Source organism: Homo sapiens, chromosome 2, assembly GCF_000001405.40.
Source record: "Homo sapiens chromosome 2, GRCh38.p14 Primary Assembly".
In the NCBI taxonomy this organism is placed as follows: domain Eukaryota; kingdom Metazoa; phylum Chordata; class Mammalia; order Primates; family Hominidae; genus Homo; species Homo sapiens.
Window position 1 is genome coordinate 3773120 of NC_000002.12, and position 14643 is coordinate 3787762.

The following is a 14643-nucleotide window of genomic DNA, read 5'->3' on the forward strand; positions in this document are numbered from 1 at the left end:
GGAACTGCAATGGGAGCAAGAGGGACAGGGTTTCGGGGTGGAAGCTGTGGGGCGTGGCCGGCTGTCAGAGAGAAGGCGATTCACTGGTGGTTGTGGCGTGAATTATCGCCAGTCTTTAACGACCCCCTGTTTTTTTTCCCTCCTAGGCTGCATTCCCTCCTTTCTTGAGTTTTTATTTTTAAGAAATTATAATTTATTTTCAAAGAATTTTTAATTTTTGGTTATAATAGCAGATAATGTATCCCCTTGGCATCCACCCCTCCCCCACCATCTCCATCAGCAGAGGGAATCTGTAGATGCGCGGGGGTGCATGGCCTGTGTGCCTGCTGCCCGATAAGCTTTCATTCTCAGAGAGCAGTGAATTTTTACACTAAAGTCTCGAATCATTTTGCCCCAATGTTAAGGAATAATTTTCTTACAATCTGTGCAAAAAAGGCACCCAGATGTTAAAACATTAATGTTGAAATTCTGATTTAAGTACTACATTTTTACAAAAGCAAGGTCTTCTTCCAGTGATAAGATTATATTTAGTTTTGTAACTACTTTAAGAAGGTGGGCAAATGTGTACAATTGGAAACCCTGCCAGGTCCAGGACACTCACCTGTGATTCCTTTCTTGGGGAAATAGTCTAGAATTTACTCTGAACATGGCCAATTCCATTTTAGTAGAGCAGGCTGCTTCATCCTTCCCCAGGTGGTAAGTAGGCTGTGCAAACCCCAGGTCTTCAGCTGATGCGTGAGAAGCATGGTTTGACTGAAATCACAAAGGATTGGGTCCATTTCTACTCTTCTAAAATCCAGTTATTTTTAGAGAGTCTCAAAGAGTCAGTGCAAAAGGAGAGTATCTTTCCTTGGATTCTCAAATAGCAACTAGGGCAGTGCCCCCTGCACTGTGCCTCCAAGGGGTGTAATGCATTTCCCTCCAGAGAAAGAGATAAGAATAAGTCACCAACCAAAGAGAAACCAAAATAATTGGGACTAATTAGGAGAAGGTCAATCTAAACTTGGGTAATCTGTGAATTGTTTAATTGGAAAAAACCTAATGAAGCTTTAGGCTTTGGCACTTTTATCTGTGTAGAGTAACTCAGACGGAGGCCACTGAGATCCTTGGGGTGTTGGCTTTAATGAATAAATTAAAAGTATAATTAGCTACTATATCTGTAAGGATGTTTTGGCTGTAAGGAACGGGAAACTTCAAGAGAAGTGGTTTAAACAATCAGGAACGTTTATCAGGCCACCTAACAGAAGGACTCGAGCCTTCCGTGTGGGAGAGGCTCTGGGGTTGGCCCCCTCGAGCCTCGGGGAGTGGCTGGGCACCCCATTCTTCCACTGCCTCCCTCCAAGCCTTCACCTTTGGCCTTGGGCTTGTCTCCTCATGATCTCAAGGTGGCAGTCTCTGCTGTGGCTGGCACACTGAGACATGGGATGCTGGGGAGAGTAGAGAGACTGCACCGTTTAAACGGTGAGGAGAGGCTTTCCCAGGGACCCCTCTGAAAGCTGCCGCGTGTCTATGCCTCTCTTGTCCCTAGCCAGGGAGAGGTGATTGACCTCAGGTGGTTTAGCGGAATCAGCCTTTACTTCTCGTGTCTGGAAAGGGATTCAGGCTCCGCTGAAATGTATGAATAGTATTTGAAAAAATTTTGAATTTTTGATTTTTTTTTTTTTGAGATGGAGTTTTGCTCTTGTTGCCCAGGGTGGAGTACAGTGACACAATCTCAGCTCACTGCAACCTCTGCCTCCCAGTTCAAGCGATTCTCCTGCCTCAGCCTCCCAAGTAGCTGGAATTACAGGCATGCACCACCATGCCTGACTAATTGTTTGTATTTAGTAGAGACGGTGTTTCACCATGTTAGTCAGGCTGGTTTTGAACTCTGGACCTCAGGTGATTCACCTGCCTCAGCCTCCCAAAGTGCTGGGATTACAGGCATGAGCCAGTGCGCCTGGCTGGATGTTTTTTTTTTTTTGGGTGAGGAACAACGTAGGGAGTGGCTCTGAGCTAGGCAGCTGTGGCTGTGAGCTAGGCAGCTGTGGCTGTGAGCTAGGCAGCTGTGGCTGTGGGCTAGGCAGCTGTGGCTCTGAGCTAGGCAGCTGTGGCTGTGGACTAGGCAGCTGTGGCTCTGAGCTAGGCAGCTGTGGCTGTGGGCTAGGCAGCTGTGGCTCTGAGCTAGGCAGCTGTGGCTGTGGGCTAGGCAGCTGTGGCTCTGAGCTAGGCAGCTGTGGCTGTGGGCTAGGCAGCTGTGGCTCTGAGCTAGGCAGCTGTGGCTGTGGGCTAGGCAGCTGTGGCTCTGAGCTAGGCAGCTGTGGCTGTGGGCTAGGCAGCTGTGGCTCTGAGCTAGGCAGCTGTGGCTGTGGGCTAGGCAGCTGTGGCTCTGAGCTAGGCAGCTGTGGCTGTGGGCTAGGCAGCTGTGGCTCTGAGCTAGGCAGCTGTGGCTGTGGGCTAGGCAGCTGTGGCTCTGAGCTAGGCAGCTGTGGCTGTGGGCTAGGCACCTGTGGCTGTGGGCTAGGCAGCTGTGGCTCTGAGCTAGGCAGCTGTGGCTGTGGGCTAGGCAGCTGTGGCTCTGAGCTAGGCAGCTGTGGCTGTGGGCTAGGCAGCTGTGGCTCTGAGCTAGGCAGCTGTCGCTGTGGGCTAGGCAGCTGTGGCTCTGAGCTAGGCAGCTGTGGCTGTGGGCTAGGCAGCTGTGGCTCTGAGCTAGGCAGCTGTGGCTGTGGGCTAGGCAGCTGTGGCTCTGAGCTAGGCAGCTGTGGCTGTGGGCTAGGCAGCTGTGGCTCTGAGCTAGGCAGCTGTGGCTGTGGGCTAGGCAGCTGTGGCTCTGAGCTAGGCAGCTGTGGCTCTGAGCTAGGCAGCTGTCGCTGTGGGCTAGGCAGCTGTGGCTGTGGGCTAGGCAGCTGTCAGGGTACAGGATGTTTAATCTGTGCCATCTGCCCCTTCTTCATCATAGAAGGAGAGGTCCGTCCTCTCCTACCCATATATCCCCTCCTTCCAGATGCTGGATCCTTTCCCGCTCAGAACCTCTCAGGACTGTGTGTCATCAACTGCTTAATAATTTTCTCTCTTTCCTTGGTGTCTTTAGCTTCTCTCATGCCCGAGTCCTTCTGGCTGGCATATGAGCACGCTGAAATCACTCTTGTTATGAGTAAAAACAACTCTTTCTTGGTCTCAGTCCTCTTTGAGCGTGTCTGTCTCCCCTCATGCGTGGAGCTGGTCTGCAGGGAGTGGTGTCTCCTCACTTTCTCCATCTTCTCCCCTCTTCTTTATCTCTTCAGGCTTCTGTCCATAGTGGCAAAAAACAGCTCTTCCGCTCTGTGCCACCAAACCCAACACATTCCCCAGTTCTCGTCACACGGGACCTTCACCACCCATGGCGCTCCCGGCCACTCGCTTTTCCTTGCAATGCTGTCTTCCTTTGGCAAGAGAATCTCGTCAAATGAGACTCCTGACTTCCCTTTTCCCTCTGGCCGCTCGTTGTCCTTCTCTTAGGCTTCTGATCATCTCACTGGCCATCAGATGCTGGCTTTCAGCAAGGATGAGGGGTAGGGCATCTTCTCCTCTCACTCTGGATGTCCTCTCTATGTGATATAAAATTCTGTATCACCCCAGTGTCAGTGTGTGTGACCTCCAGGAACATATGCACATCTGCTGAATTAACACCTCCTGTAGATGTCCTAAGACACTGAAGCTCAGCAGAGTGAGAATGCAACTCGCGGTCTCCTTCCCCTGTCCTCAAACCTTCTTCTCTGCATGAATGACACCCAGATCCATTCAGTAAGACAAAAGAGAAACTGAAGAGGTATTCCTGAGAGTGACCTCTTCAACCCTTCTGTATCCTGATCATCTTGGACTCTGTAGTTTTACCTCCTGAATGTGTCTGGAATCTCTCCACCCCTCTCTGCCTGTGTTACCATCTCTCTGGTCCCACTTAGCATCCTCTTTTGGTTAGATTGCTGCTGTCACTCCTGCTTTTCATGCACTGACCCCCAGCAACTCTGAAGCTCAGCGCTTCTTCCTGCAACAGGGCTGTGCACATGCTGCTCCATGCACCAGGCCTGTTTTCCCATCTGTTTTTATATATTAACATTGTTTCATCCTTCAGATTTTACATTAGTAGTCAATTACCAGAGGATGTCTTTGTTGCTTTCCCATATATGTTAAATACTATTACATTCTCTTTCTGTTCCATGTACCTCTCCTTGTAGCACCTGTCACAGTTGTTTTGTTTGTGTGACTATTTAATTAATATCTGTCTTCCCTATAAGACTCTCGACTTCTTGAGGGCCTTGTTTGTTTGTACTCACAATCACTTGTGTCTTCTGGCATTGTGGTATTCAGTATGGTGGGTGTCCTCTATATACTTGCTGAATAAATGAATGAATCAGTGATTGATATCACATCGACTATTCTTTAAAATAACATGTTTTTGATTGACATTATGTTGATTATTCTTTAAAATAATGTGTTTTTACAAAGCTTATTTTTTTACGTGGTTTGAGCACTCACCATAGAGTTTTATTCATTGCGACTGCTTTTCTACATAAGCTATAGGAAGATAATGCTCATACAGCCTTGGTCTGAGTTTTCAGAAGGTCTGAGGTCTGGGCTGATGGGGTCTGCCATACTGAAGACATACCTACACGTCTGCCTCGCCACGGAACACTGTTCTTGCACATTCAAGGTCAGCTGGCAGGAGCTGTTGGGTCTTCATGGCTCATTACTAATGGCAGTTCTTTTTCTCTGGTCACACAGTGAGAATTCACTTCTCTGCCCACTGTGACTCAGGGTGGCCATGCCACCTGCCTTCCCTGATGACAGGTGAGTGGTTCCAGGAAGGTGCATGAAGAGCCAGTGTGTGATTTCCCACACCGCATCTTCTCTTCCTTTGCAGTCAGGAAACAGGAGGCGCCAGGGCCTCCATCAGTAGGTTACCTGAGTGGCTGTGTGGACGGGACACCCCCTGGCCAGCTGGACGCATGTGCAGCACCCACACCGCATCTTCTCTTCCTTTGCAGTCAGGAAACAGGAGGCGCCGGGGCCTCCATCAGTGGGTTTCCTGAGTGGCTGTGTGGACGGGACTCCTCCCGGCCAGCTGCCATGCATGTGCAGCACGCATACTTGGTTGGCGTGTTATTGCAGCCTCATCAGCCTGTCCTGACTGCTACAGAAATATAAAGGAAGTTGGTCCTGGAGAGTCTTTTCTTTGGTCACAGAACCACATGCTTCTCCCCAAGAGCAGGGAGAGGCTCCAGGACACAGATTAGGACAGATCCTTGTCTTCTGCCAGTGTGCCATGAAAACTAGGAAATAACCATGGAGAGTGAGAACCCACTGCTATGTGAGGAGTGAGGGCAGGCAGGCTGTGGAGGGCGTCTGCTGACCAGGGAGCAGAGGGCCCTGGGTGGGGTCCTCATGGTGTCCCAAGAATTACAAAAGCACCTGCTGACCAGAGGTCTCTGGAGCGCCCACGCCACTCCTTAGAAGAAAGAGGTTTCTCCAGCAATTTTACCAAGCAGGTTGACATTTTCTTGGAGCCAAACACAAAAATGCAGAGTGGATGCCATCCTGCATCTGGAGAAACTGCAGTGACTTCCCCAGCTCTACCCATAGAAGTGGTCTAGAAGGTCGCACTATTTCACGTGCTCTCTGATTTTTTAAAAGGAGTTCCACATAAGTAGTTGATAAAATGTGGTGTATTTTCTCCCCAGAGACAAGCTGAGATAGTTAAAGAAGATGAAGAGATACATGAGAACACCCCTGATTTTGAGGGCAACAAGGTGAGTTCATTTTATTTTGTGTTTAATGGCTTGGATCTAAGGCACCTGACACTTTGAACAGAGCTCACGTTTGGTGGTGAAAGGATCTGAGATCACAAGTCGCTTCCAAAACACAAGCCAGCGCGGAATCGGAAGCGAGTGCATTTCGCAGGCAGCCGTGGACACGATCGGGTTTCCTGTGCCAGTCAATTACATGAGTCATTTTAATCACATCTACACTTGTCCTAATTACTTTCCGCTCTACTTCCAGTCACAAACCTAAAAACTTTTCCCCCAGCAAGTTTCAAGATGTACTTTTAGCTGGGAACGTCCAGGGAGGTGAAGGAAGGCAGCAGGTGTGCAGGTGGCTGTGTGGAGTGGACACCTGGGGTGCTGACTGGCGTAGTTTGTGGCGTGGTGTCAGTGGCTGGTCCCGCCGGGGAGCACGAGGGTGAGGGCGTGCGGTGCCTGTGTGCAGATGGCAGTGGAAGCCAGCGCAGGACGCTTGGCAGTGTGGGTTCTTGCTCGGTCTTCTTCCTATCTGGATGTCCTGGAAACTTCCTCCATGCAGGGAGCGTGTGTCTGTGGTCCTCTATGAGATTATGCAACTTATCGTCCACATAAAATGTGTGTATCTGGAAAACAGAATTTACTTTAAATGTATCATTTTTAGCTAAGAAGTGGACTTTGAGGACTTTGTTTTCAGAATTCTGTCTGTGGATCTTTATTTTTGTTTCAAGGTAGTCTCTTGTTTTTAAAAGTTTGGCGGCAGTCAGGGAGCTGTGTAAATTGATCATCGCACAGGAGGCTGTGTAATGAGCTCCCGGATTCATTAAGTCTGAGAGTTGCAGTCTGATTTATCCTCCAGGGCTGTAAACAGGCGGGGACACTCGCAGCCTTGCCGGGAGTCACTTTTTTTTGCTCTTAAACTTGCCCTGCAGCTTCCTGGCTGCCACCTTGAAGAAAGGGGAGGAGTGACCCCTAGGGAGCTTGTGCCAGGGTGCTGGAGCCACGCAGGTCACCCCCGGCGCCTGACACAACTTGGAACGGGTGTTTGTTGGAAGGGATATGGGTCCTCAGGAAGTTAGTTCAGGTTTTTTAGAAAACACCAAAGCAGCTTCTGATCTAAAACAGAGAGTCAAACAGAATACACTTGTAAAACAGCTCATTCTTCTTTATATTCCTGGATAATTGTGGAAAGGTATCCTGTCTGTATCTGGATGAGTAGGGAAGACTGTCAGACGAAGAGCAAAGACAGTTTTTTATTTCTTTGGCACCCTCCGTCGAGGGTAAGAGTGTGTTCTGAGAGCAGGAGTGACAGTGCAGACATTTGTCTTAGAGCATTAGGCTAAGAGGGGCAAACAAGCCACCGGCTTACCTGGCTTACCCTCAAGGAGAGGGTGCTCTTATGTGAATGGCATATTTCAACAGCGATATGATCCAGGCCTTCTGACTGCCGTGAGTTTGTGGTGTCCCCTGAATCCCTTGTGCACACTGGCGGTTGAATTTGTCATCTGTGCTTAACTGACTTGTTACGGAAATCTACTCAGGCTGCTGGGGGGATCCATGCGTATTAGTGACTTGATAACAGCCAGTAGCAGATTTAATTTCTTAGAGTGAATCAAAATGTCTTTCTTAATGTAAGCACTATCACTGGAATTCAATGGCAAACCCAAGCACCTAGTCCTCAGGTATCCGGGCCAAGGATCTAAAAGGTGATAGGGACAGCCATACCTTGGTTCTCTTGCCTGAACATTAATGACGGGAGACAGGACAGGGAGGGCTGGGGAGCAAACGAAGGCATCCCGAGCTTCACCGTGCACCAGGCACTGCGCAGCCGTTCCCACATACCCAGCCCTGTCTCCACTGCACAGTCGATCTTTAAGGAAGGCAGAATAAACAAGATTAAAAACAATGAGATGGGGAGTTTAGGTAGCTTGTCGGCGTCACGCAGGAGGTGATGGGGCTTGGATTTGAAGCTCGTTTTGAGCGATTCCAAAGGCTGTGTTTTCTTCTTCCAGTGAACCTTGCTGGTTATTTATATATAACTTTCCGGAAGAGGTATTTCCTGTATCAGGCTTCACACTGTGTCCCTCGTAGATACCGTTGCTTCGCTGGCGCCACCTACTGCTTCAAGGGGTGCAGGGTGGCTCAAGTGTTTCAGTTCTAACAGCTCAGTCTTTGCTTCTAACATGACTGAAACAAACCTTTGTTGATGTGAAGCAACTCATGGGGTTGAAGGTAATTGGCCCTAAAATTTGGCCCACGTTTTTGAGGGCTCAAGAAGAGCAAGCGTTTTATATGCATTATACTAGCTGTAATAACAATGAAAAAGAAGCAGGACTCAATTAGCCCTTCCTGGCCAATAGGCCACGGTGAGCTAACCCTGCTCTCAATGAACTGTAGTTCACTTGGCATTTCATTTGTACATTCATTTGACAAATTAATCATATGACATTTATTTGATATTGATGATATTAAAAATTTTAGGCATATGATTGCCGGCTTGACCTCCTCAAAGACCGGGATTGTGTCCTGTCAACTTATGTATCATTCAGTGTCTTATATACAGTAGGTGTTTAATAAATATCTGCAGATTTGCTTTCAGTTGCCTATGATGAAGTTACTTAAATATGTAATCCTGGAGTAAAATGCTAATTACCTTGCAAAGTTGTAAGAAGACATATTATAAACTTTATTTATAAATATGTATTGTTCAGGCACAGTGGCTCATGCCTGTAATCCTGGCAATTTGGGCGGCTAATGCAGGAGGATTGCTTGAAGCCAGGAGTTTGAGAACAGCCTGAGAAACATAGTGAGACCCTGTTTCTACAAAAAATTAGTGAAATAAAAAAAGGTAGCCAGGTGCAGTGGTGTGCACCTGTAGTCCCAGCTCCCTGGGAGGCTGAGGTGAGAGGATTGCTTGGGCCCAGGAGGTTGAGGCTGCAGTGAGTTACAGTTGTGCCACTCCAGCCTGGGTGACAGAGAGAGACTCTGTCTGGAAAGAAAAACAACAACAATTACTACTATATATAGAAAAGATTTCTGATGCTTGATCACAAACGTTATTTTTGTGGTAGAATACAAATTATTTTTGTGGTAACATATAAATACAATTTGCCATTTAACCATTTTCAACGTGCAGTTCAGCGGCATTAATCACGTTCTCCGTGTTGCACAGTCACGGCTATGGTCTGGTTCCAACACCTTTTCGTCCCCTCACACCGAAACTCTGTGCCACCTCCCTGTCCTGCGCTAACTCCCCGTTCCTTGCTTTGCCTAGCTCCAACTGTGTTGTCATTTGAAGCACTTAAAACAATCCCGGCCTGAAGGAGCTGTTCAGATGCAAGTATTATGATGGGATCCTCCTCACGCCACAGCTCAGGGTGCATTCATTTTATAATTATGTATGTCAATAGCATAGAAGTGGGAGCAATCAAAATCAAAAGCAAAAATAGAACTGTGCTTTTGGATGACACTTCCTCATCCTCAGAATATTTTAAACATGTTAATTATACAATCACTACAATTCTGACGATATTGGGCACTGTAATAACATTTTTCATCCTTAAAGATGGAATGTTATTAACATTGGAACACTGGGATTTTCTTCAGTTCTTTTTTTTTTTTTTCGAGACGAAGTCTTGCTCTGTTGCCCAGGCTGGAGTGCAGTGGTGCTATCTCGGCTCACTGCAAGCTCCGCCTCCTGGGTTCACACCATTCTCCTGCCTCAGCCTCCCGAGTAGCTGGGACTACAGGCACCTGCCACCACACCTGGCCAATTTTTTGTGTTTTTAGTAGAGACGGGGTTTCACTGTGATAGCCAGGTTGGTTCTCAATCTCCTGACCTCATGATCCACCCACGTTGGCCTCCCAAAGTGCTGGGATTACAGGCGTGAGCCACCGCACCTGGCCTTCTCCAGTTCTTAGTGCTTGATTTGTTTGGACTCATTGGTTCTAAAACATCTTATGTGCAAGCAGCACTGTTTAATTTACGCTACCTGCAAAGTTTGTAAAGCAATGCGTAATGGTTTTGAAAAGGTTCAATCCCTTTCCAAAGCAAGATGGAAAGTATGAATGGCAATGCCAAAAAATGTATCCACAGGCCACGTGCTCAGGGCTCTCTCCAAGGATGACACGAGCTTCCTATCCTTGGAAGTATCTCCGTGCGGTCTGTAGCCAGCTCTGGAGGGATGCTTTAGAGAAGGGTTATGCATAGGAGTGGTCGGGTATTGTGTGACTCAGGTTTTTCTCTGATTCTCAGTTATCGACCTTTCAAATAGTATTTAGGTGTTTCATACTTTTGAAAAAGCTGTATAAAAATTTCATGGGTAATTTTGTGTATTCAATAAAGAGAGAGAGGGACAGGAAGAGGGAGTGGGAGATGGACTCTGATTTGGGGTTATGATTTTCTCTTCCTCCAAGAGCATCCTGTGCATGTTCTGGCCTATCCGGAGCTGTGCCTGATGCCTGCTGCACCTCTGCCTTTCCAGCTCTCACCCACTTCCAGGGCTCACTGCAGAGCCAGCCTCGTCCTTACGGCTCTCTGGATCCTTCTTCCCCAGGGAGCATCTCTTCCTCCACTAACCTCCACTAGTATTTTGTTTGTCCTTCCTACGCCGTCCAAAGCACAGTTTGGCTTTAATTAGAGCTGTTTGTGTACGTCTACTGTCTCTTCTGAGTGACTTACATTTTCTGAAGGAAGAGTCTCGACTTAATTCATTTTGGTGTCATCGTTAGTGCCTTTCATATCACCTTGCACACAGGAGTAACTGATCTTGAGCTTGATAGAGACTCTGGAAGATATTAGGTGACCAGTGTGTGGCAGTGGAGGTAGCGTGGGGCATCGCAAGGCCTCTGGCCTGAGGCCGGAGTGTGGCCAAGCAGGAGCTGAGCGTGGCCCCAGTAGAGGGGACTAAAGATGAAGGTGGATATTCAGTGAGTCTCAAAAGGCTAAATCAGAAGAAGTAATTATCTCCAAAGCCTTAGTGTTTATCTACATGAAAATCAAACTTTTCTCTTTGGAAAATTTCATAAAGTTAAAAGCTAAACAAAATAAGGAAGAAAATATTTGCAATACAAATCAAATTTTCTTGATTTACACAAGTCTCATAAATCATTAACACAAAGCCCAATAAAAAGAAAGGCAAATAAGACAAACAGGAAATTCACAAAGAAGAATACAAATTTCCAAAAGACATAAGGAAATATGTCCATATCATTCCTAATTAAAGAAATGCAAATAATAAAAATGAGGTTTTTTTGTTGTTAAATCAGATTGACAATGTCCAGTGCTTAATAAATCCAGATTAGGGATTTGTTTTACAACATTCCTCTTGCAGATAATTGAATGCTATATTTTTATGTTAATATGGATGCAGAAAAGTAGCAATACTTCTTATTAGGGTCATGTATAAATCAATGCAGCCCTTTGGAAAAGAGTTTTTGCTCTTTCTATTAAAATTAAATCTGCACTTTTTTTAAACCATTATCATAGCTAGGAATATCTTCTGCACTTTTTTAAACCATTATTATGATAGCCAGGAATATTTTACAAATATATTAATTAACAACTATTAATATTTGTTATATTAAGATTCAATAAAGAGAGAGAGGGACAGGAAGAGAGAGAGGGAGATTGACTCTGATTTTGGGGTGATGATTTTCTCTTCCTCCAAGAGCATCCTATGCAGTTATATTAATATAACAAATATTAATATATTACAATATATTAATGACTATTAATAGAAACAAATGCAGTGTTCATCCACAGGGTTGGTTGATTAACTTATGTTTTACCAATAGAATGGAATACAATACAGCTGTGAAAATAATTAGATAGACTCATATAACAGAAGGATGGGAGCTCCAAGATGTTATATTAAGTGAAAAAAAATCAAAGTGTAACAGAGAATACAGGTATGACATGCGCCTTTTGCATAAGAATGATCAAAAAGATGTACATAAAAACAAAGAATTTAGAATGGGAAACAAAATGGAAGGAAGTAGGAGGAACAGAGCAGTGAGTCAGTAGTGAGGATGAGGCTTGAGGCTTTACGCCAAGCTCCTGAATGATGTTTATGAGAAAGAATTTGACCTCCCTGAGAGGCAGAGTAGAGGTGGGGGAGATTAAGGATTTATTTTACAACATCCTTCTTGCGATAGTTGATTCCTATATTTGTTTTTTCATACTAGGATAAAGAAGATGCAAGGCTTTGTGAAGACGTTGAAAGAAAGGTTTGTATCAACAACAAATGCTGTAGTTTTGCGTTTTCTATTCTGAAGACAGACCTAACAAGAGAATCCACGGATCCCCAAATCTTCTCAGGTGCTTTTTAGGAATGTAACTTTTATGCCTCTGTCATACACCCTAGCTCTATTTTCCAGAGTTAGAAAACAAACTTGGAGGAAAAGAAGCATAATCACGGCCTTTCACATGGGTGGATGGATCCTCAGGAAAGGCAAATAAGAACCAGGAGTAAAAAGCGCCCTAGGGCAGCGTGTGGCTGGCATCTGAAGGTGCAGCTTTTATGATTGCCTGGAAAACCTGGAAAACGCGTTTGAATTATCTGGCAGCTACACCTGTAGTCACTCACTTAGGTTTTCCAGGCAGTCATAAAAGCTGCACCTTCAGACGCCAGCCATGAAGCTAAGGATGGATGTGCTTGCCTGGCGAGAGCAAGGGAGTGGGGGGCTCACAGCCCTTGGGAAAGCGGATGTGTAGCTGGGCCGGGAACCACACCTGGCAGCGGAAGGTGCTTCCCCCTAGAAGCGCTGCTCTCCCTGCCGTCAGCAATAGCTCTGTCCTCAGCAGGACTGAGTTCTCATCCTGAGTTGGTAGATGACTAAGTGATGACAGTGATTTTTGTCTGAATGTGTCAAGTTTCATTTATTTAGTCTTTAGTTTTCCTAGACACCTCAGCACTCCGCAAAGGACGTGAGCCCTGAGTGATGACACTTGGGGAGGTTAACCTAACTGAAGCCAGCGTCTGCACACCCTGGGGACTTGAATCAGCTCTGCCTGGCCTTGGCTGCTTCAGTACCTGCCGGATGTGTGGCTTCGGGAACACTCCTTAAAACCTGATTGCCTCAGTTTCCTCCTGTATTCAAAGTTTGTCTGTCCAATTGTTTATAACAAAATCAACCTCCAGGAGAGAATATGTGTAAAGTCTGCTTAGCGTTACTACTTTTATTCTTATTGTTAGAAATAGCTGACTTGCAAAAATATTCCTGACCATATTATGGGGGAGGGGAACACGTGTGAGCTGCGTCTTGCCTATGCACAGAGCCTCTGGTGTGGATGTGTCCCACCGAGCACTGAGCCTCCCATGCAGATGTGTCCCGCTTGTGCACAGGGCCTCTCGTGTGGGTGTGTCCCGCCTGTGCACGGAACCTCTGATGTGGATGTTTCCCGCCCCCGCCCTCCACGTGCAGTGAACCTCTCGTGCAGATGTGTCCCGCCTGTGCACGGAGCCTCCGGTGTGCGTGTGTCCCGCCTGTGCACGGAGCCTCCGGTGCGGGTGTGTCCCGCCTGTGCACGGAGCCTCCGGTGCGGGTGTGTCCCGCCTGTGCACGGAGCCTCCGGTGCGGGTGTGTCCCGCCTGTGCACGGAGCCTCCGGTGCGGGTGTGTCCCGCCTGTGCACGGAGCCTCCGGTGCGGGTGTGTCCCGCCTGTGCACGGAGCCTCCGGTGCGGGTGTGTCCCGCCTGTGCACGGAGCCTCCGGTGCGGGTGTGTCCCGCCTGTGCACGGAGCCTCCGGTGCGGGTGTGTCCCGCCTGTGCACGGAGCCTCCGGTGCGGGTGTGTCCCGCCTGTGCACGGAGCCTCCGGTGCGGGTGTGTCCCGCCTGTGCACGGAGCCTCTCGTGTGGATGTGCAGGCAGCCTTGTGGCTGGAGGAGCGCTAAATTCCTGTTTTAGCTTTTCCACTAACTTGCTAGGTGTCCTTTGTTAAGTAACTCGATTGAATCAATCAACAAGCATTTTACATGTTTATAGGTTTACTTACTTTTCAAGAATCAACGAGGCAATGGATTGGAAAGTTCCTGAAAAGTATAACATATCTATGTTTAAAATGGTGTTTATATTATTTGTTCTTGAGTTAGATAATGAAAGTTTTTGTTCCTCAGCTTGAAATTAGACACTTGGTTTTCCCCACTCTTAACTCCCTTGTTGAAATCAGTGTAATCCATTTGTTATGTGGCATTCCATCCTCTGGAACTCTCTGCAGCCAACCTAAGTGCACGTGACTGGGAAAACTAATGTGTATTCATAGTGATGTCCCTGAAGGAAAATAATATCTGGTTTGAATGTCAAGTAATTCTTTGGAGCATTTATCACTTGTTTGGCACACAGGTTACTCTTTTAAAGGGAATATTTTACCAAACATAATGTAATGAAAAGAATGCAAATTGGGCCGCATGCAAACTGTGCGCAAATAGTTTCATTTCTCTGAGCCTCGGTTTCCTTATCTGTAAAAATGAGATAATTTCCAACTTGTGAAATGAGTGTAAAGATTAGAAGTATTTAAAAGTGCCTTTTCCTTACTCAGTGGTCTGGGGATAAATGCTGTCTACTGTTGTTACTGGTATTCTCTAATATAATCATGACTCCAATGGAGGTCTAAAGTCTTTGAAAGAAGGAATGAGATTTTACTCACATTTGCCCTTTTCTCAGCATCGGGCATGCACAATGCCTTACTTACAGTCGACATTAACTATATTTTTAAATGAAATTTTCTCCTTTGATACCTCACACTAGTTTTAAAATTAAGAATACTTTGTTAAACTATAAACAATTTATGTTGGTTGTAGACTTATTAGAAAATGCAGATAAGAAAAAAATGAGAAAGTGAAAACCCTGAATTCCTCTGCTCAGAGTCTGTTCTCACTTTTGTGCATG

At 46.4% G+C, this 14643-nt stretch overlaps 1 protein-coding gene across 10 annotated transcripts in view, besides 2 other annotated features; it reads left to right on the plus strand.

Moving 5' to 3' along the window:
• The window catches only part of DCDC2C (doublecortin domain containing 2C), a 144434-nt gene that overhangs the window by 69545 nt on the left and 60246 nt on the right, over positions 1-14643 (plus strand). For 9 of the 10 annotated variants that reach the window (NM_001287444.2, XM_047445725.1, XM_047445724.1 and 6 more), the window contains 2 exons: positions 5697-5765; positions 11940-11981. In NM_001287444.2, the coding sequence (NP_001274373.1) occupies positions 5697-5765; positions 11940-11981 (111 nt within the window). Of the gene's footprint in view, positions 1-5696; positions 5767-11939; positions 11982-14643 lie in introns of those variants that run through there. The other variant, XR_007081579.1, reaches the window with a different exon arrangement.
• Positions 7548-8048: an enhancer, noted in NCBI's record as "H3K4me1 hESC enhancer chr2:3828257-3828757 (GRCh37/hg19 assembly coordinates)". NCBI's record gives its function as "activates a minimal SCP1, AML or CMV promoter by ChIP-STARR-seq in primed H9 embryonic stem cells {active_cell/tissue: H9 hESC(primed)}" and the evidence as "EXISTENCE:reporter gene assay evidence [ECO:0000049][PMID:30033119]".
• Positions 7559-7778: an enhancer, noted in NCBI's record as "active region_15239". NCBI's record gives its function as "activates an Ori minimal core promoter by ATAC-STARR-seq in GM12878 lymphoblastoid cells {active_cell/tissue: GM12878}" and the evidence as "EXISTENCE:reporter gene assay evidence [ECO:0000049][PMID:35858748]".